The sequence below is a fragment of the Homo sapiens genome, chromosome 11 (genome assembly GCF_000001405.40).
Source record: "Homo sapiens chromosome 11, GRCh38.p14 Primary Assembly".
NCBI lineage: Eukaryota > Metazoa > Chordata > Mammalia > Primates > Hominidae > Homo > Homo sapiens.
This window is the reverse complement of record NC_000011.10, coordinates 74,935,875-74,957,095: the sequence shown is the minus strand read 5'-3', so window position 1 is coordinate 74,957,095 and position 21,221 is coordinate 74,935,875. Positions and strand designations below refer to the sequence as shown.

At 43.0% G+C, this 21,221-nt stretch overlaps 2 protein-coding genes across 67 annotated transcripts in view, besides 7 other annotated features; one reads left to right on the top strand and one right to left on the bottom strand.

Moving 5' to 3' along the window:
* The window catches only part of SPCS2 (signal peptidase complex subunit 2), a 29,768-nt gene extending 21,938 nt beyond the window's left edge, over positions 1–7,830 (bottom strand). Inside the window, exon 1 of the mRNA NM_014752.3 lies at positions 7,697–7,830. Coding sequence (NP_055567.2) covers positions 7,697–7,810 — 114 coding nt within the window. The 5' untranslated portion in view covers positions 7,811–7,830. The remainder of the gene's footprint in view (positions 1–7,696) is intronic.
* Positions 6,928–7,782: an enhancer, noted in NCBI's record as "H3K27ac hESC enhancer chr11:74660359-74661213 (GRCh37/hg19 assembly coordinates)". NCBI's record gives its function as "activates a minimal SCP1, AML or CMV promoter by ChIP-STARR-seq in naive H9 embryonic stem cells {active_cell/tissue: H9 hESC(naive)}" and the evidence as "EXISTENCE:reporter gene assay evidence [ECO:0000049][PMID:30033119]".
* Positions 7,576–7,625: an enhancer, noted in NCBI's record as "active region_5258". NCBI's record gives its function as "activates an Ori minimal core promoter by ATAC-STARR-seq in GM12878 lymphoblastoid cells {active_cell/tissue: GM12878}" and the evidence as "EXISTENCE:reporter gene assay evidence [ECO:0000049][PMID:35858748]".
* Positions 7,706–7,925: an enhancer, noted in NCBI's record as "active region_5257". NCBI's record gives its function as "activates an Ori minimal core promoter by ATAC-STARR-seq in GM12878 lymphoblastoid cells {active_cell/tissue: GM12878}" and the evidence as "EXISTENCE:reporter gene assay evidence [ECO:0000049][PMID:35858748]".
* Positions 7,706–8,637: a biological region, named in NCBI's record as "H3K27ac hESC enhancer GRCh37_chr11:74659504-74660358".
* Positions 7,783–8,637: an enhancer, noted in NCBI's record as "H3K27ac hESC enhancer chr11:74659504-74660358 (GRCh37/hg19 assembly coordinates)". NCBI's record gives its function as "activates a minimal SCP1, AML or CMV promoter by ChIP-STARR-seq in primed H9 embryonic stem cells {active_cell/tissue: H9 hESC(primed)}" and the evidence as "EXISTENCE:reporter gene assay evidence [ECO:0000049][PMID:30033119]".
* The window catches only part of XRRA1 (X-ray radiation resistance associated 1), a 108,182-nt gene continuing 94,965 nt past the window's right edge, over positions 8,005–21,221 (top strand). For 30 of the 66 annotated variants that reach the window (NR_165439.1, NR_165438.1, NR_165437.1 and 27 more), the window contains exons 1-2: positions 8,005–8,168; positions 20,028–20,212. Coding sequence is in view for 23 of the 66 variants with exons in the window: in XM_047426387.1 (XP_047282343.1) it covers positions 16,218–16,311; positions 20,028–20,212 (279 nt within the window). In the remaining 43 variants the exon portion in view is untranslated. Of the gene's footprint in view, positions 8,169–12,010; positions 12,079–16,213; positions 16,312–20,027; positions 20,213–21,221 lie in introns of all 66 variants that reach the window. The other 36 variants (XM_047426387.1, XM_011544761.2, XM_011544759.2 and 33 more) reach the window with 3 other exon arrangements.
* Positions 8,056–8,115: an enhancer, noted in NCBI's record as "active region_5256". NCBI's record gives its function as "activates an Ori minimal core promoter by ATAC-STARR-seq in GM12878 lymphoblastoid cells {active_cell/tissue: GM12878}" and the evidence as "EXISTENCE:reporter gene assay evidence [ECO:0000049][PMID:35858748]".
* Positions 8,236–8,285: an enhancer, noted in NCBI's record as "active region_5255". NCBI's record gives its function as "activates an Ori minimal core promoter by ATAC-STARR-seq in GM12878 lymphoblastoid cells {active_cell/tissue: GM12878}" and the evidence as "EXISTENCE:reporter gene assay evidence [ECO:0000049][PMID:35858748]".

Sequence of the window (21,221 nt, the reverse complement as noted above, 5' to 3'; positions counted from 1 at the left end):
AAGAGCTTCTTCTTGTATGGAAGATAAAAAGTAAACAAATACGCATATAATTCCAGGCTCTAAAAAAGATTATACAGAAAAATGCAATAGAGTTTTTAAAAAGACTAAAAAATAGTGAGGGAAAATAGTTAACATCTGAGCAGAGTTGAATAAAGGAGTAACCCATGAGAAAATCTGGAGTGTCCCAGTGAAAACAGTACACCAAAATCCCCCAAGCTTAACGTGTTTGAGGAACAGCAGAAAAGCCAGGGTTTCCAGAGTATAATGACTCAAGCAGAAACTGACAGATGAGGATGACAGAAACAAGCAGGATCAAGAACATGCAGGGGCTATAAAATAGGCCACAATTAGGGATTTGGAGTTTAGCTAACTGAGATGGGAAGTTACTGGAGAGATTCAGCAAGAGAGTGAGTGATCTATGTTTTAAAACATCAGTCTGGCTGCTGTGTGGAGAACAAAATGTAACGGAGCCAAGCACGGAAGCTGGAAGACCAGTTGAAAGGGCTACTACAGCTCTCTAGGTAGGAGTGGTCAGATTCTGGATGTACAGCCAGGAAAATACGACAATGAGATGGCTGTGGAGTACAAAGCAAAGAGAAGAATCAAGGGTAACTCTCAGGTTTTTGTTTGAATAAATTAGATGAATGGAGGTATCTACCTGAAATGAAGAAGACTGGGAGAGAAGCACTTTGAGGGGTAAGCGGAAATCAAGAGATTGGCTCTGGCTATTGATGCCTGATACATGTTTTAGACATTTAAGTGGAGATGACAAGTAGGCGGTTGGACAGAAAAGTCTGGGACTTATAGGAAAGGTCCAGGTTGAGAATATAAATGTAGAAGTCAGCAACTTCTACATGTTATTTAAGTCATGACATTGGGTATCACCTTGGGATGAGGGTAGACAGAGGAGAGGGCCAGGGGTAATAAGCTCATAAGCTCAGGGACTGGCAATATTTACACAGGTCAGGAAGAAGACCAAAGAACAATGAAGACAACAAAGACTAGTTGACGTAGGAGGAAAGCTGGGGGCAAGTGGTGTCCTAGAAGCCAAGTAAAGAAAGTATTTCAAGAAAAAAGAAGTGATCAATAAGTCAAATGCTACTGAAAGGCTAAGTAATATAAAAAACTACTATTGAAATTTGATAAGATGGAGATCAGAGCAGAGAAATGGTGCTAGCAACAGCTGAAAAAGGTACCTAGGCAGGCAGATATATATATATATATATATATATATATATATATATTTTAATTAGTAATTAAAGTAATAGTATTAAAGTAATCAGTGTCTGTGATACCACTGTGTTACATGACATATAGTTTAAAGAAATAATAATTTGAAACTTTAAGGGTTACTCCAGGAAAGACAAAAATAAGTTTCTAAAATTGCGATATAGTTCACACACTATAAAATTCACTATTTAAAAATAATGCCAATTCAGTGGTTTTTAGTATACTCACAAGGTTATGCAACCATCACCACTATCTAATTCTAGAATATATGCATACCCTCAAAAAGAAACTCCATACCCATTAGCAGTCACATCTTATTCCTGTCCCCTATCCCCGGGCAGCCAACAATCTACTTTCTGTCTCTATGGATATACAAATGCAGTCATACTATATATGGCCTTTTGTGATCGGTTTCTTTCACTTAGCGCATTTTCAGGATTCATCCATATTGTAGTATGTATCAATACTTTATTCTAACGGTCAAATTATATTCCATTGTATAGATATATCACATTGCATTTATCCATTCATCAGCTGACAGACTGTTTCTACCTTTAGGCCATTATGATAACTGTGTTATGAACATTTGTGTGCCAAGTTTTCCTGTGGACACACATTTTCAGTTCTCTTGGGTATACACCTAGGAGTGGAATTGTTGGGTCATATGGTTAACTTTACGTTGAATTTTCTGAGGAACTGTCAAACTGTTTCCAAGAGTGCCACCACATTTTACATCCCTGTTAGCGATATATGAAGATTCTGATTTCTCCATATTCTCACCAAAACAGGTTATTTTCCTTTTTTTTCCCCCTTTATTATAGCAATCTTAGTGGACGTGAAGTGGTTTCTCATTGTGGTTTTACTTTGCATTTCTCTAATGACTGATGATGTTGCGCATCTTTCCATGTGCTATGGGCCATTCGTACGTCTTCTATGGAGAAATGTCTATTTACATCTTTTGCCCTTTTAAAAACTAGGTTGCTGTCTTTTTATTACTGAGTTGTAAAATTCTTTATATAGTCTAGATGCTAGACCCTTATCAGATATATGATTTGAAAATGTTTTCTCTCATTCTGTAGATTGTCTTTTTTCACTTTCTTGATAGTGGCCTTTGACACACACATACTTTTTATTTTGAGGAAATAAAAAATAATGAGTTTTGAGACGCTAATAAAGATCAGTTTGCAACAGTATTAAAAGGCCAGCACCTTGTTTCATTAAACACACACACACAATTATAGTAATGTTATAAAACCGTTCATCTTCTTTGTCAGAGCTAGGTAACAGGGCACAAGCATATCACCTGGAAGTCTGACAAGCTAAGATATCTTCCAGTAGAGTAAAAGAGGAGATACCTAAGGACATATGGTTGGTGGGTGACAAAGCCAAGGCCACAGCCTAGGTCTTCCACCTCACAACAGATGCTCATCCCACTACTACGTTAGCTAGCACATTAGATAGCACAAGGCACACTCTGGTATGGGAAGCAATGTGCTGAGTAAAGAAAGAGCACTGGATTAAGCACTGGGGGAGCCAGGTTCTGTAAGTGTTACTAATTCACTGTGTGGTCTTGGGCAAGTTGCTTTGCTTGTGTCCTTGTCTACAAAATGAGGCTGAAGTATCATATGAGTTTCAGGATCTCTTCATTATAAACATTTTAAAGAAACCACTATTAAGCAGAATAGCTTTTAAAAACAAAACAAAAACCTTAAAATGTCAGAACCAGAAGAGACTTTAAAAAATCATTTAAGCCAGTAGTTCTCAACCTGGAGGTAACTGTTAAAATGCAGAGGTAATAGAGACATGTGAAGAAAAATGCAGATATTCAGGCCTAAAAAAAGGTCCAAAAATCTGTTAATTTTAACTAATTCTCAAAGGAGTCTGATGTAAACAGATTAAAGCTGTGCTTTAAGATCAGGCTGACAGGCCAGCCAGGAGACAGAAATCCAGGTATAAGGCTAAAAGGGTCTAGATAATAGCTTCTGGAAAGCATGGTTTAACACCACATATCAACTTTAATAGCCAAAACAAATTAAGCAAGCAGCTTTTCTTTATAACTGCCAGGCAGAAGAAAATGCTTTGATGTATTTGGGGCAAAATAACATACTGCAATGATCTAAGTCAAGTTATTCTGTGATGGAGGCGGAAAGATTATATTTGCATACTTATTTTTAAGATCAGGAAACAAGAATTGCTGTGTTCTTAAAGTCAGTTTCATAAGAGTAGAAATTCACATCTGCTTAGGGAAAACTAGGAGCATATTTGCATCTCTTTATTACACTTCTTTATGGCAAGTGAAACTACAGCTGCAGAAATAAAATAAAAACCCTCCCCGCCCAAATCAAGACACATCAAATTAAATAAATTATATTAGGCTGGGTGTGGTGGCGCACGCTTGTAAACCCCGCACTTTGGGAGGCCGAGGCCGTTGGATCACCTGAGGTCAGGAGTTTGAGACCAGCCTGGCCAACATGGTGAAACCCTGTCTCTACTAAATATACAAAAATTAGCCGGGTATGGAGGCACATGCCTGTAATCCCAGCTACTCGGGAGACTGAGGCAGGAGAATTGTTTGAACCTGGGAGGCGGGGGTTGCAGTGAGTGGAGATTGCGACAAATCGAGACTCTGTCTCAAAAAAAAAAAAAAATTATATTAAAGGTAATAGCTTCTCATTCCCACACAGCAAAAGCCTCTCTATTCATTCAGATCCTGCTCCACTGAGAATAACATTTTTTTCCCCAAGTTCTCTCCCACAGTACCCTCAGTCTTCAAACAATTAGAGGCACCATCCTCTAAAGCTGTTTCTGAAGACTGAGGTGGCAGATCTCAAGTTTTTTCTCTGCGAAATTCAATGCTAAAAGTACTTATCTTGTGTTGATCACTACAGAGAAGCACTCACAGGAAAACGGGCAAATACAAATTGGTGAAATAATACAAGACAGTATGTCATATTAAGTGACAGCTTAATTCCCATGTGCAGTGTAAGTGCTAGAGGAATTCAGGGAGGGAACAGTTCAATGTAAGGCTGAAACTAAGTTTTCCAAGAAAAGGCACTCAAGCAGCTCTTGACTATTCTCTTCTGTCCCTCACTTATTGGTTAAATCTTCCAAGCACTCTTTTGTGAGACCTTTTATCTATTTCTGCTACTCATGTTGGGGTTCTCATCACCTTGTCATTCTATTTTTTACCACAGACAGCCCTTTACAAAGAACATTTACTTCTAGTAGATTCCAAAGGACAGGGAACAGAGCTGGGTGCGGTGGCTCATGCCTGTAATTCCAGTACTTTGGGAGGCTGAGGTGGGCAGATCACTTGAGGCCAGGAGTTCACGATTAGTCTGGGCAACACAGTGAGACCTTGTCTCTACCAAAAATAAAAATAAAAATAAAATAAAAAGGGCAGAGGAAACCAAACTAAAAAACCCAAAGAACATTTACCAGCACTATACAATTTGATCCTTACAACAAGCCTATAATATGTATGAATGTCCACAATATTTACATAAGGAAATTTAAATTCAGTAATATCACACAACTTATCCAAGGTCATGTGGCTTTTATTAGGTAGGTGCAAAAGTTATCGTGGTTTTTGCCATTACTTTCAATGGCAAAAACAGCAATTACTTTTGCACCAACCTAATAACATGCGGCACTAGAACTCAAATTTGTCTCTTTTTATTATATATTATACACTACTGTGTATACGGCCTTATTAAGAAGTCTTCTAATTTCTGTCTCTCCAAACCATCTGAATAGTTTTCCTAAAAACCACTTTACACAGTCTCAAAACCCTTCAACAGCTTTCCTCTACTTCAAGCAATCCACGGCCTCCCTAATCAGATGCTATCTACTTGTCACTACAGTTCCTTTAGAGAGCCTTCTAGTCAACTCAATACCTGAGAAACATAAAACACCATCACATCTGTGTAACTTTACTCAAGGAGACTTTTTTACCTGGCATGTCTTTCTTTTCTCCCCCCAAATAAGGTGCCAGTTCCACTTTCAGGAATGAGGCCTTTCCTTCAGGCTCTTACTCTTTTTTTTTTTTTTTTTTTGAGACAGAGTTTCCCTCTTGTTGCCCAGGCTGGACTGCAATGGCGTGATCTCGGCTCACTGCAACCTCCACCTCCCGGGTTCAAGCGATTCTCCTGCCTCAGCCTCCCGAGTAGGTGGGATTACAGGCATGCACCACCACACTTCGCTAATTTTGTATTTTTAGTAGAGATGGGGTTTCTCCATCTTGGTCTGGCTGGTCTTGAACTTCCGACCTCAGGTGATCCGCCTGCCTTGGCCTCTCAAAGTGCTGGGTTTACAGGTGTGAGCCACTGCGCCCGGCCGAGGCTCTTACTCTTATCAATAAGCTCGCAGGGTTCACTCTATTTCTCTCATTTGAACTTCCGTAACAAGTACACACTTGAGCGAATATACCATATACTTCCTTAAATAGATTCAATTACCCCATCTCCTATATTTGGCTATTCTGAGTGCTCTCTGACAGTAGGATTCTTGATTTACTCCTCCACCATCACACATCTGTACTGGACACTACAGGTAATGGAGATCATTAATGTGTACTGTCTTACTTGGTTCTTCCCAAAACCCTGTGATCTAGGTGCCAGAGATTCCAAAATTCCAAATGAAGAAAGGTTAAGTGACTTGCCAATCTTCATACTGTTAGCAAGTAGCAGAAATACTTCAAAGCTGAAATCTTATGATCCCCACATCCGGGTTCTTTCAATAACACAATGGTGCCATATACACTATTCCATAATAATAGTATTCTATACTGCCTTAGCAGAATGCCCATACTTAATGTTTGCTGATGATGATCCAAGTGCAAGGAAGAGCAAGAGCAGTTAGTGGGGCAGGTAAGCACAGGCTATGAGGTGCTTACCTAGCAAGAGGGAAGGATTTGTGTACACAAATGACCATCAATTCCCCATACTCTCACATGTCTTGAAGCAATTTACCATCCCAACCTCCAGAATATGTTTCTGTATCTTAAGGTTTGAGTGTGAGGCCAGGTGCATGGTGACTTATGCCTGTAATCCCAGCACTTTGGGGAGCCAAGGTGGGAGGATCTCTTGAGGCCCAGGAATTTGAGACCAGCCAGGGCAACACAGTAAGACCCTGACTCTACAGAAAAGTTAAAAGCAAAAAAATTAGTCAGGCATAGTGGTGCACATTTGCAGTCCCAGCTACTCAGGAAGCTGGGGTGGGAAGATCACCTAAGCTTAAGAGTTCAAGGCCGCAGTGAGCTAAGATCCATTCTGGGCAATGGAGCGTGACCCCTCTCACAAGAGAAGAGTGTGAGAACCATGTCTTTCAAAACCAATGACACTCAAAAAGACAAGTAAAAAGACCTGGATCTTAACCCCTCAACATAATCATGTTTTCATTTCTTAAGCACCTACCATGTGTTATGCACAGGGAAGTCTGAAAGCTGTTTTCAATTATATTCAAAAATTCTGCTTACTATATTAAAGACACCATGCTTAACAATTCTCATCAAACCAGCCCAGGGCCCTACAATGAGAGAACTGGAAGGGAATTTAGAGTTAAGTCCCTCATTTTAAGGCTAAATCTCTCACTTTGCAGATGAGAAAACAGATATAGAGAGAGCAAGCATATTTCAAGGTCACAAAGCTAATTAGAGGCAAAATCAACACCAGGACGTTGTTCTCCGTGCAACTGTTTCTTCCAAGATGCTGTGCAAAGAGCAAGAAAGGCCAACCCAGGGACAGTTTTCCTTTTTTTCTTTTCTTTTAAACCCTTGTTGCTAGGACTGCAGTTAAAAAAAATTTTTTTGGATGAGCAGAGGGAGGAAAGGGGCAAGCGTGAGCGGGCAGCAGTGCACTTGGTAGCAAAGAGGGAGGTGGAGGGAAGAGAGGAGAGGGCGGGGAAAAACAACAGGAAAAAAAGAAAAATCTTAAAGGCTTCTTGTCAGCCCAGTAGAACAGTCAATACTCAAATATTTTCAGTATTCGCCTATCATGATAAAACGCCTAAAAACTTCAGTAAGCAAAAGGACAAGAAGCACTTTGGAATCTGTAGCAGCACGCAAGGGTGATGGTGGTAGAGAGTTTGGGGGATACTGATTCTTTAATCTTTGGGCTTCGGTTTTCCGTGTCTGTGAAATGGGCACTGACAACAGTGCACCCAGCCCCCCAGGAGAAAAGAGATGGACACGATTAAATATAGGAAAAATCAAATTACCGAAAAAGGTGTGGCGACCAGGACCAGAACACTTGCGAGAAAAGAAGAAGTTCTAAAGAGGACCGGGTCCAGGTTTGAAGTGTGATGAGGGCAAGGGCAGGCTCCAAGCGTGCGTAGGGTTGTGATAGTGGTCACACAAGGGCTCCCCTCAAAAGGCCGTAGAAAATAAGGGAGACCGGGATGGGAAGGTTGGCTCGCCGCCTCCCAGGCCTCCCCAGGATTCAACTGTTCCCAAGAACCGGCTCCTCACCTTATCCAACAAGCCGCTACGGCCACTTCCTGTCCCGCAGTTGGAAGCACCACCAGCCCCACTACAGCCTCCGCTACCACCGCTTCTCCCGCCCTGTACAGCTGCCGCCGCCATCTTGTCCGCCTCTGCGTCTCCCTCCCCTCCGACTTGTCTGAAGCCGATTGGCTGGAGCTGACAGCGTGACGCGCCGCGCGGAGTCAATCGGGATCCGTAGTTTGGGTCTTGCTGGCGCGAGGTAGTCAGAGGACGTGGCCGCGGGGCTTGCTGGGACTTGAGGTTAGACGTCCCGGCCGTCGGTTGCCGCCTACACTGTCTGCCGTCGCGTCGCAGTTACTAAGGCGTGGGGAAGATAGCGGCAGGCACCGCAGTGGAGCGGCTCCGAGATCCCCGGGGGGCTCGCAGGCGCGCATCCCTCCTGACTGGGACGTCGCCTCCGCAGACCCCTCGGAGGCTGAAGCGACGCCGGAGGCAGGTGCGACTGAAACTTAGTTTTCGAATTCGAGTCTTTCTCCGGCCCAGGTGTGGAGTTTCCAAAGGAGTGGGCAGGAGCTTGTCCTTCATCCTTTTCTAGCCCGGTTGTGGCACTTACCGATTATTCTCTCAAGCAGCTGTCATTTTAGCTGTTTGTAATGTTTTCGTGTTAACGGAGAACTCGCGTTTACTGAGTGCCTACAGTCTGCCAGGCAGTATCCTATGTGCACTTCCAGCCATCCTCTCTCTCACTGAGTCCCACAACAGCCCTGTTAGATGAGGAGGAAACTAAAGAACCTACCCAAAGCCAGATAGCATGTATCTGAACTCGGTTTTCAAGCCGGCATTTAAAAAAAATCAAAACCAATATATATCCCTTCTGACACTCTGCTTTTACGGTTTTAGGATGTAATAGTATTCTAGATTTTAATTATTTTTTTCACAAATGTATATTGAGCACCAATATTGTACTAACGGATACAGGGGATCAAGATAGACCTGGTTGCTACTCTGGTGGACTACTACTCCATGACAGAGTTATCAAATAGCAGTATTGTATTATACCATGCTCTATTACGTTGTATTTTAATTAATTTTTTTCACAAATGTATATTGAGCACCAATATTGTACTAACGGATACAGGGGATCAAGATAGACCTGGTTGCTACTCTGGTGGAACTACTACTCCATGACAGAGTTATCAAATAGCAGTATTGTATTATACCATGCTCTATTACGTTGTATTGTTTTTTAATTCCTATATATCCCCCATAAGCGTCTAAAGAATTAAACAAATATTTTTGAGTTTCTTACTATGTAACAGGCACTATTCTAGTCACCAGGGATATATCCCTGAATAAAACAGACAAAAACTTGTCTTGGGGAAGCCAAAATTCATGTGAAAATAATTATCTCGGCCGGGCGTGGGGGCTCATGGTTGTAATCCCCGCCAAGGCAGGCGGATCACCTGAGGTCAGGAGTTAAAGACCAGCCTGGCCAACATGGTGAAACCCCGTCTCTACTAAAAATACAAAAATGAGCCGGGCGTGGTAGCGGGCACCTGTAATCCCAGCTACTTGGGAGGCTGAGGCAGGAGAATTGCTTGAACCGGGGAGGCGGAGGTTGCAGTGAGCCGAGATCAGAAAGAAAAGAAAATAATTATCACTAAATAACTAAATTATTACTAAAAAGAAAATAAATATCACTAAATAGCAATAACATCAGATGATATTTCATTACCTCTGTGAAGCAATCCGTGGACACTAGTCAGATCCCCTGTAGCTTGTTGTTGCAGTTTATCTTTTACAACTTCTCATTTTTCTTTTATTTAAAATAAAGTGAGATGATACAGCATTGCCCTAGTCACTTTTTATTTTATTTTTTATTTTTTGAGACAGAGTCTCACTCTGTCACCCAGGCTGGAGTGCAGTGGTGGGATCTTGGCTCACTGCAACCTCTGCCTCCTGGGTTCAAGCAGTTCTTGTGCCTCAGCCTCCCAAGCTGTAGTCTTTGTAGCTGGGACTACAGGCACATGCCACCACACCTGGCTAATTTTTATATTTTTAGTAGAGACAGGATTTCGCCGTGTTGGACAGCCTAGTCTTGAACTCATGACCTCAAGTGATCCGTCTGCTTCGGCCTCCCAAAGTGCTGGGATTACAGGCATGAACCACCACACCAGGCCAACTTCTCATCTTTCAAGATCCAGCTTTAATGTCACCTACCCTGTGAAACTATTTCTGATACTTGCTTCTTCTTTCTTCACCCACTGCATGAAGTGCTCCTGTGGCATTTTGTTCATGGGTTGGGTTAGTTCAATTAACAATCATTGAGACTCTTCCTTCAGTAGGCCAGGTCCTGTGTGAGATGCAGGATAAAGAGATAAGTACAGGCTCACGCCTGTAATCCCAGCACTTTGGGAGGCCGAGGCGGGCGGATCACGAGGTCAGGAGATCAAGACCATCATGGCTAACATGTTGAAACCCCGTCTCTACTAAAAATACAAAAAATTACCCAGGCATGGTGGCGGGCGCCTGTAGTCCCAGCTTCTAGGGAGGCTGAGGCAGGAGAATGGCGTGAGCCCGGGAGGCGGAGCTTGCAGTGAGCTGAGATAGCGACACTGCACTCCAGCCTGGGTGACAGAGCAAGACTCCGTCTCAAAAAAAAAAAAAAAGAAAAAGAGGTAAGTAGGACCCAGGCCTGACCTGACCTTGGAGATACTCACAGCCTGTAGTGAGGTGGGGAACAAACAAGGAAGCAGGCATTATAATACAGTGTGGTATAGTGCCTGTATTAGTCCATTTTCACACTGCTATAAAGAACTGCTCAAGACTGGGTAATTTATAAAGGAAAGAGGTTTAATTGACTCACGGTTCTGCATGGCTGGGGAGGCCTCAGGAAATTTACAATCATGGCGGAAAGGGAAGAGGCAAGTCTTACATGGCAACAGGCAAGAGAGGGCAAGAGTGTGAAGGAGGAACTGTCAGTTATAAAACCATCAGATCTCGTGAGAGCTCACTCACTATGGTGAGGACAGCATGGGGGACCACCTCCTTGATCCAATCACTTCCTACTAGGTCTCTCTCTCAACACATGGGGATTATGGGGATTACAATTCAAGATGAGATTTGGGTGGGGACACAAAGCCTAACCATGTTAGTGCCTCCATTAAGAAGTGGGCCTGATGGCTGGGCAAGGGGGTTCACGCCTGTAATCCCAACACTTTGAGAGGCTGAGTTGGGAGTTTGAGGCAGCCTGGGCAACATGGTGAAAACCCATCTCTATCAAAAATATAGAAATTTAGCTGGGCATGGTAGCACACGTCTGTGGTCCAGCTACTTGGGAGGCTAAGGTGGGAGGATTGCTTGAGTCTGGGAGGTGGAGGTTGCAGTGAGCTGAGATCATGCCACTGCACTCCAGCCTGGGTAACAGAGTGAGACCTTGTCTCAAGAAAAAAAGAAAAAATAAATAAAAAAAGAAGTGGGCTTGAGGAGGCTCAGCCTAAGGAGAGGGAGATACAGGAAAGCTAATCTGTATGTAGCCGGGCAAGGAAGAGGGGCAGAAATGTGATAGGCCAAAGGAATGGAACAAGCAAAAATATGCCTTACTCTGTGTGTGTGTGTGTGAGAGAGAGAGAAAGAGAGATGTTTGTTTTGGAGGAAGCGCTACAGTCAGATTGGCATTAGCTGCATCAAGTTTGAGATGGAGACCAGAGGTAACTAAAGCTAACCAGGAAGTCAGCCTCCAAATCTGGAACTTTGACTTTTTTTTCTACCATATAAAGATCTTACTTGTCTTAGATAATGTAACCAGGGGTTATGTGCCCTTCTTGGCCCATTAGTTGTAGATCTACACCTTCTCACCTAATATTCCTAATAGGGAACTAGAATTTCTGCGATAGCATCCAGGTCTGCATGCCTCCTACAGGCTTCAGTGTGAGTCATCTTTTGTATTATATGCATGGCAAATATCTTTTCCCAGACTGTGTCTTATCTTTCAACTTTGACTTTCCTATTTTTATCTGGCAGAAATTTATTTTGTGTAAATAATCATGTAAACGATCCCGTCCTTTCAGGTTTGTGCTTCGTGTGTCTGATTTAAGCACTCCAGCCATACCCCACTATCATAATTATATTCTCCTATACCACCTTCCCATCTATGTCTTGTCTTTGTCTCCATCTCTGTATTGGTATCTATCTGTTTCTTGGATCCTTAGTCCTACGGGCAAGGACTAAAGGCAAGACAAATATTGGAGTGGAAGGCTCACAGTAGAATATAATTAATGAGGAAGTTCAAGAGCTCTGAATAGCAGGCTAAGAAGGAATATAATATTTATCTTACAGGCAAAGAAACAAGTGAAGAAACAAAAAAAAAAGGAAGTTAAGGGGCCATTCCCAAAGTCAAAGATCAAGTAAGTACTCTGGAGACCTGAAGCCAGGTCACCATATTCTGTAAGTTACTGAAGGCTTCTCCAACAGCCATCATATTTAACATTTTCCAGCCAGCAAATTACATCACATCTAACATTTTCCAGCCAGCAAGTTACTCATTCATTCTTTCATTTACCTCTAGCAGATGTGTGTGATTGGTCATGAGAGAGAGTTCCTGAAAGACATATTGACTGAATATAAATTTGTCCCCATCCATCCATCTATCCATTAATCTTACCAACATATTTTTAGTGAGTCGTAGGCTCTATGCTACATGCTGGGATTACACAGGTGAATAAGGTAATTATAGGCCCCACAACAGGTGAGAAGTTGATGAGGGGAGCAAACAATTATAATAAAGTCATAAGTGCTATACTAGGCGAAGTATGGAGTGTTGTAGGAATACATAAGACAAGCCTCCATCCCTTTGCAGGGAAAATCAGGGATCAGGAAACTCATAGTGCCCTGTGTTGGACCAAAGGAGGTACCAACATTGATTCATTTATTCCACAAATATTTATGGAATCTGTTATGTCATAACATCTGTTATGTTAGGTGCTTTGTTAGGAATAAATTGATGACTACCATTGATATTGCCCTTTCTTAGGAAGGTTTTAGAGTCTAATTGAGGATATGTGTGTGTGCGTGTGTAGCAGATATATATGTCTTGGTCCTAGGAGTGCCATCATATCCTTCACTTGGCTCACATGTCTATTGCGTGCTTCCTATGAGCTAAGTCCCAATGGTGGAAGAGAGACAGTGAATTAGATGTGTTTCCAGACTTGGAAATTCATAGTCCATTGAAGGTACCCCTTCATGATCATTAATAATCTTGTGAGGTCGGGCCACGAAAGAAATACTGATGAAAGACTTCACAGCTTAGCAAAAGCAGCAGTTATTTCCACTGGCCTTCCAGTGGGAGGCCAAGGTGGGTGGATGGCTTGAGCACAGGAGTTTGAGACCAGTCTGGGCAATATGGCGAAACCCTGTGCCTACAAAAAATACGAAAATTAGCCAGACATGGTGGCATGTGCCTATAGTCCCAGCTACTCAGGAGGCTGAGGTAGGAGGATTGTTTGAGCCCAGGAGGTTGAGGCTACAATGAGCCGTGATTGTGCCACTGTACTGTAGCCTAGGTGACAAAGTAAGACACTGTCTCAAAAGAAAAAAAAAAGATGAATCAGAAAAAAGAAATGTAGCCTGGAGTTGAATCTGATTCTCAGGTGTTTGGTTTGGCCTGCACATTGTTCTAAAATGGCAAATTAGTTGCTGACTCTCAAATAGGAGATTTCACGTATAAGGCAGACTTTCCTTGAAAAAAAAGTGAAGCTCTGGCAACAGTGACTTAGGTTTCTGCATGGCAGCAGTTGGTAAGAGCTGACTAGTTGCTGCCTCTATGAGCAGGTGCACTCTCTCTCTCTCTCTCTCTGACACATACACACACACACACACACACACACACACACACACACACCCTCCTACTCTCTTCCCCTCGCCTCCAGCTTTCTTCACTCACTCACATAGCCTGCCCAACTTCTGTAACCATTTGTGTTTGCAAGTCCTCGGTAAAATGTAGGTTTTTCCAAGGTTTGACATCAGACTGTGGTGAACAATCTGTGAATGACAAATGATAAGTGCAGTTGTGATTAGGGCTATCCATGCCTTTGAGGAATCGTTTTTATGCCTGTCTCTCTGAAGAGAATAATCATTTGATGAAGAAAAGACTGAGTCATACCCTAGAGTCAGAACTATATTCTTTTTCCAACTTTTTTGCATGTGTGTGCATGCATGGGCACACACACACCCCTAAAGAATTTCTGACTCACTGTAAATTGGTATTGAAGAGTCTCGGAGCCACCCCATAGCAGATAGAGGATGGAAGGTTATTTCTTTTGTGCTCTTTTTATTCTCTAGGTGTTAGGGAAATGGAACACTTGGGATATTTGAAGTCTCTCTCCCATCACAACTGTCCCTGAAGGAGCCTGCCCTCCCTCATCCTCAGTGAGGGAACCCCTCCCCTGGATGCTGGGTGCCCTTCTTCCTGCTTTCTCAGGGATGGCTCTGCGGGTCTGCCCATCTCTCTCCTGCATTGTCAGCCTTTCCTCCCTTGCTGTCTCCTTCCTCTCAGTCTAGATGTAGTGAAGCTTTTCTCATCCTGTTAATAGCATAGTAATGGAAAATGAGCAGCATGAGTTAGCCATGTGGCAGATACTAAGGCATTTTCTCCTGTAATCATCAAAACAGCCCTATGAAGTAGGTGCACTTACTGTCTACATTTCACTGAGGAAAAAGCCAAGGCATAGACAAGTAACTTGCTCAAGGCCACACAGCTAGTAAATGGCATAGCTAGGATCTGAACCCATGCAGTGAGCTTCCAGAATTTATTCTTGGTAGTGACTCTGTCTGCCAGGGCTGGGACTAGGGTGGAGGCCAAGTGCTAACACTGCATTTGCACAACTCTGAGAGAGAGCACATGTCCCCCTACGTGTTCCTCAGGCACCTTGCTCACCTTCCCCCAGTGCTGGCCCTGATATTCACCCATCTCGCAATTTTACCTTCCATCTCACTGCTGTCTTGCTTTTCTCCCTTTCACAATCAAGCGTCTTGAAAAACTTGCTTATATTCACTTTTTGTATTGCCTTGCCTTCCATTCACTCTTTCATACATAAAGTCTGACTTTAACTCCACCCTTCTTCTGAAACTGACCTCCTACTTGCTCATGGCCTATTTTCGGTCCCCACCTTGCCTGACTTCCCTGCCTCTTTCATAGAGTTTTCTCTTCCCTTGGCTTACTTGGCAGCTCCCACTCTCCACCCCCCGGTTCTCCTACTTCTCTAAAATTATTTTCTTTTCTGAATCCTCCAGGGGCTTCTCCTCCTTTGTCCACACATTTTTTTTTTTAAATATGGGGTCTCACTGTCACCCAGGCATGATCACGGCTCACTGCAGCCTGGACATCCTGGGCTTAAGCAGTCCTCCCACTTCAGCCTCCCAAGTAGCTGGGACCACAGGCATGTACCACTGTGCTGGCTAATTTTTTTTAATTTTTTGCAGAGACAGGGTCTCACTGTGTTGCCTAGGCTGTGTCCACACATGAAATGCTCATACTTCTAATTGGTCTTGCTCCTCTTTTTCTCTACTGTCCCTCCCTTTCTCATTCCTTTTTTCTGTCCATCCTTCTTTTTTTAATTCTTTAGTTTATTAACATGAACTCTCATCAGCTATCCCTGGGTTGCTGCAATACTCCCCTAACTGCAATCCCAGTTGCCACTGGGTGCCACTTTCACCTACTGCTATTTTTGTCAGATCTCTCTTTGTAAAGTACAGCTTGGATTATGGCTCTGTCCAGCTCAGAAATTATCCATGGCTCTCAGTCACCTACAAGATGAAGCCTGAGCTCCTAGCCTGGTACCTCAAGCCCTTCAGGAGCAGGCACCATCCTTCCTGTCCAGCTTTATTGTTCAAGACTACTAAACATACATCCCTCTCCTTCTTGGGTCACATTGTTTCTTTACTGTGCACAGCTGCCCTCCTGTGGCCCTTGCTGTTTGGAATGTTTATCCTTCTCTCTATCAGAAAACTCAATCCCTCAAATACTATTTATCCAGTTCAAGTCTCATTATTTGTACACTATTTTCTCTAAAATGTGAGCCTCTTCTCTGAACTCTGTTAAAACAAAACATCTAGCACAGACTTAATATGTATTAGGCACTGTCTTTCTCACTTGATCCTCTTGTCTTTTAAGGTAGGTATTATAACCCCCATTTTGCAGGTGAGGAAACTGAAGTTCAGAGGAGTAGAGTAACTTGCCCAGTCACAGAGCAAGGAAAGACAGAGCCAGGATTCAAACCAAGTCTGAGCTGGAGGATCATGTTCTTTCTAGGGTTCCATTGGGTTAGGATTGATTTGAACTGAAAAACCCAGGGTCTTGTTTCTCTCTTCATGTAAACAGCCAGCCCATTTCTGAAGCAAGGGCAGTGGGGCCTCCAGGGTGTCGGAGGCAGGGTGTGTGCGGGTGTGGTGGTCCTGGTGGGCTCATGAGCTGCACTGGAGTAAGAGTGCTCTGCTGTGCCTTTTCACTCTTCTGCTTCCTTGCTTTCCTTGCCTGGCTCTCAGGGAGATGGCCTTCTCAGGAATCTACAAGCTGGATGATGGGAAGCCTTACCTGAACAACTGCTTCCCAGCCAGAAATCTGCTTCGCGTGCCGGAGGAAGGTCAGGTGACTTCTCAAATAGCTACCTTTTCCTCATACCTAGCTCGTGCTTTAGACCATCTCACATCTACTTGTTCTTCTCCAACCCCTTCACTACTGTTCCCTGCTCTACCTAATCCTTCCCCCTCCAGTCCTAGTAGCCTCCATGGGACTTCTAAAGTGCATATTTAACCACAGTGCCCCTTCTGTTCAGTGACTTCTCATTGCTAACTCCTTTAACTGGCATTCTGTGTCATTCTGAGTTTAACCTGCTCTTATCCTCTGTGATAACCCATTTCTTTATTTATGCTCTGTTCCACGGTGCTTGCTTTTCACATAGCTTTTTTATTTGCCCTGAATGTTCCAGCCCTCATTCTTGTTAGCCAAACTCTTCCCATTCCACAAATCCCAGCTCTTCTTCTACTTCTTCCAGTAAAGCATGTCTGACTACCCTAGTCCTCAGGGCCCATCCTCTCGTGAGCTGTCTTCCTGTCTGTATTTCTTATTTGATGAGTGATCATGGTCTGCCAAACTCCTAAATAAAATGGCTTAAATTCGACTCTGCCAGGTAGATTTTCAAATATTTATCTAGTTAAAAACTTCCCTGGAGCAGGGAATTGTCATAATAAGAGCCCTATAGGTGAAACACTAAGTATTGGTTCTCTGGATTGGCTTTGTTGCTTTGAAAGGGTAGGGCAAAGGAGAAGTAAACCTTGTTTACTCCAGATGTTGTAACTTGTTGGTCACTCTGTATATGGAATATTGGAAGAAACTTCTCTTCCTGCCTGTCCTCTCTGCTTCTCTAGAGTGATTTTGTTTTTCACACAGAGACTTTCCCTGGCCACCTACCTATCAGACACCTTCAGATGGAGCTATCAGTGTGAGCTCATAGTTTCTCTCTTTGTCTCTCTCTTGCTCTCGCTCTCTCTCTCTCTTGCTCTCGCTCTCTCTCTCTCTCTCTCTATGTCACTCTCTCACACACAGACACACATAGATGGATAGCTACAGAAATAAATATAGTTGTATATATCTATATGTTTTAGTGTACATATGTATATTTACCAGTCCACTGACAGCAATGACACCTCAGCAGCAAAAAGCATACCTAGTATCTACATCTTGCTTTCTAAATACCATTCTCCAGTGAAAAGAACATGGGCTTCTTGGAGAAATAGTTGTTTGCAGGACTAGGGCAGAAAAAATACAAGTTGAGTTGGAGTATCTTATGGTGCCAGAAGTAAAGAAGTGCTCAGGAAAATAATGAGGGCATGTTGAAAGGACGCAGCTGACTTGAAGGTGCTCCCAATCACCAAAGCTGGGACAGTTTGAGCAATGAAATAAATAATGGCGGAATTGGGTTGTAAACCATGGAATAATAAATGAGTCTACTAATATAAATATTTGAATATGTAAATATGTGGGGGGAAACAAAATAGCTCTTTCTTTTCTTTTTTTGAGATGGAGTCTCTCTCTGTTGCCCAGACTGGAGTGCAGCAGTGCAATCTTGGCTCACTGCAACCTTCACCTCCCAGGTTCAAGAGATTCTCCTGCCCCAGCCTCCTGAGTAGTTGGGATTACAGGCACTTGCCACCATGCCCAGCTAATTTTTGTATTTTTTATAGAGATGGGGTTTCACCATGATGGCCAGACTGGTCTCGAACTCCTGACCTCAAGTGATCCACCCGCCTCAGCCTCCCAAAGTGCTAGGATTACAGGCATGAGCCACCACTCCCAGCCAGCTCTTTCTTATAGTAGAATTCCAACTAGAAAATGTAGAAGGAATGAGGGAAATAGAAAGTCACTATTCAAACACTACAGTAATAATTTTTGTAGGTAAGAACCATTATAGGATGTTGCATTAGAGTTCTTCAGAGAAACAGAACTGGTAGTAGATAAACAGGACTAGTAGGAGATAGGTAGGTAGGTGGGTAGACAGATTTTTTTTTTCAAGGAATTGACTTTGTGTGATTGTGGGGGATGGCAAGTCCAAAATTCGTAGGGCAGGCTGGCAAGCTGGAAACCCCTGGGGAGGAGCTGAAGCTGTAGTGTTAAAGCAAAATTTCCTCTTCCTCTAGGAAACCTGTTTTGCTCTTAATGTCTTTCAATTCATTGGGTGAGGGCACTCACATTATCAAGGATAATCTCTTTTACTTAACATCAACTTATTGTAAATACTAATTACATCTACAAAATACCATCACAGCAACACCTAGATTAGTGTTTGATTGAATAACTGCATATTATAGCTTTAGCAAAGTTGATGGATAAAATTAACCATCACAGATACTAGAATAAGTGGGTAAAAGTATGATGAGAAACAGGATATTTGCATAGTCTCTTTTCTCTCCCGTTGATCTCCTGACACACTCTGAACCTTCCTTTCTGACCTTGTTGGGGGTTTTGGCACCAACTCAGACTGAGGTCCCCAGGAGTCAGGGATATGAAGATAGGATAAAGTAGAAGCAAAGTTCATGCCCCAGATGGGGGCAGCCCTGGGAAATGGGGTAACTGGAGTATCAGGCCCATAATGGAAATGGGAAATGACTCATATGAGACATAGGGCAGGAACTGCATCCAAGAAGCAGGATTGTCAGCAGTGGTCTGTGAGCCAGGGCAAGCCCCCAAGGCAGAGATAGTGGGCTTTTCCAGAAGACAGCCAGTGGTTAGAGGCACAAAGCTGGTTCCCACAGCACCCCTTATATTATTATTATACTATTGTATATAATATAAGATGTTATATTATTATGACTCCTTTGAGTTAGGGCTTCCTTTTTATTCATTCTCATACTCCCAGTTCCCAGCATAAAGTAGATGCTCAGAAAAGATAGGAATGGATGACTGTGTGGGCAGGGGCTATAAGACAGGGTTCATTCAGTCATTTGTTCAGCAACAGTCACAATGCGGTGAGCTCTGTGCAGGCCTTGGGAATACTGAGATGAATGAGTCAGATAAAGTCCCTGCTCTTACGGAGCTTCCACTCTAGAGAGGGAGACAGACAATGAATAAGTGAACAAATAAAATAATTACAGATTGCAATGAATACCACACAGCAAGTAAACTGCTGGTGCGAGAAAGAACAGATTCCAAAATACGTTATGATTTTTGTTTGGTGAGCTTACTAGTAAACCTCATATTCTTTTTGCTTATACACATTTTAAAATTCTTTCTACAGTAGACATGTATTATTAGGTTTTTTTTTTTTAATGCCATCTGTCCTACATTTTCTTATTCCAAGTTTCTAACACCATCTTTTCTGTATACTGATAGAGGTCTGGGAAGATGGAACCTATTGAGTTGAGGTCACACATTGGGCTTTACTCAAGAGATGACCAATAGGAGAGTAACTGGCATGCATGAGAAAGAGGGATCAGCTCTACTGAGGGGCAAAAGGGAAGACTTCACAGAACAGGAAATACTTGATCTTAGTTTTTGAAGGAATAATAGAATTTGGAGATAAAAATGTGAAGGAAGGAATTCGGCAAGTCATTCCACCTCCTTTTGTCGCAGCCTTTTCATGTATAAAATCATGACAGTGACATGTTTTTCACTGGGTTTGGAGGCCAATTAAATGACATAGATAGGTAGATATCTCCCCTACCCCCAGCTGCAGTATTGTATCTGGTGCATGTTAGATAATCAGGAGCTATTTTTGGTTTTAGTATTATAAACAAAGTCTATAACTGCACTCGTTGTAGCTTTGGAGTTTTCCCCTTTTCACTGTTCTAATTTTCTCAACAGGCCAAGGACACTGGTTAGTGGTTCAGAAAGGTAACCTCAAGAAGAAGCCCAAGGGTTTGGTTGGAGCACAAGCTGAACGTCGGGAAAGCCTGAAGGCGACTTCTTTTGAGTTCAAGGGGAAGAAAGAGTCTCGGCGGGAAAATCAGGTGGACCTTCCTGGACATATCCTGGACCAGGCTTTTCTGGTGAGAGTAAATGCATCCTGGAGTGGCCAGCACATCAGCTAGGGTGGGGAGGAAGTGGGGAAGGATTTGCCCTGCTCTGGCACAACTACCCCCAATCTACTCCAAACTGTTAGAGTGATATTGGCAAATTGAGTACAGCCAGGATAATGAAGGGACCCAAAAGTTTCTTGACATGTAAAGCTTTCTTGACATCTACCTAGTGAGATAGGTATTGTCGTCCCTTTTGTGTTGTTGCCATTGGGCAGATGGGAAAACTGAGGCTCCAAGAAGTAGTTTGCCTTGGCTGAGGTTCCACAGCTAGTAAATGGCTGATCCAGGATTAGAACTCTGGTCTACTGACTCCAAAGCCTGTACTTTTACATTATATGAGGTAAAAACTCTTACTGAGTTGGAGAGACAAAGGAGCAGGTCAGGGGAAACAGTCAATTGAAAATTGCATTCCAGCACCTAGTAGGGTTGAGAGATTCCTGCTGTGCTCTTTGGGGTGATCTCTACAGGATTGAGTGGGACTGGGTCCTGCTCTCCCACAGCCTTTGTCCTTTGACTTTAGTGTCTGGCTGAAAGCCAAGGGAGCTGACCAGATATTACTTAGTGCCGGGGGCAGGCTTTACAAAGAGGACTGGGGTGGCTGTGTTGGAGACCAGCCAGGTAGTTTCACATCTGCTCTGTGCAATGCCTCAGTGGCTTTGCTAAGAAGGATGCATTTTGTAAATCAATATTAATGTGCAGTCGAGTTCTCATAGCTCCCTAAGAACTCCCTGGCTGCCTACTTTGTTTCCAGATTCTGCTATGGTTCCCAAGAGATGGGTGCCTGCATAAATCAGATGTTGAAAGAGAACTTTGTTGGTTTCATCTCACCTCAAGTGGGTAGTATAAGCTTTTTGCAGTCCTGTGGAATCAGTTTCATTATTAGGTCCACTTCTCATTGGGAATGAGGAGGACTGAAATAATTATACTGAGGAGGGGCAGAAACACTTCCCATAGTGGCCTTTTTTTCTTCCCTTGTTTC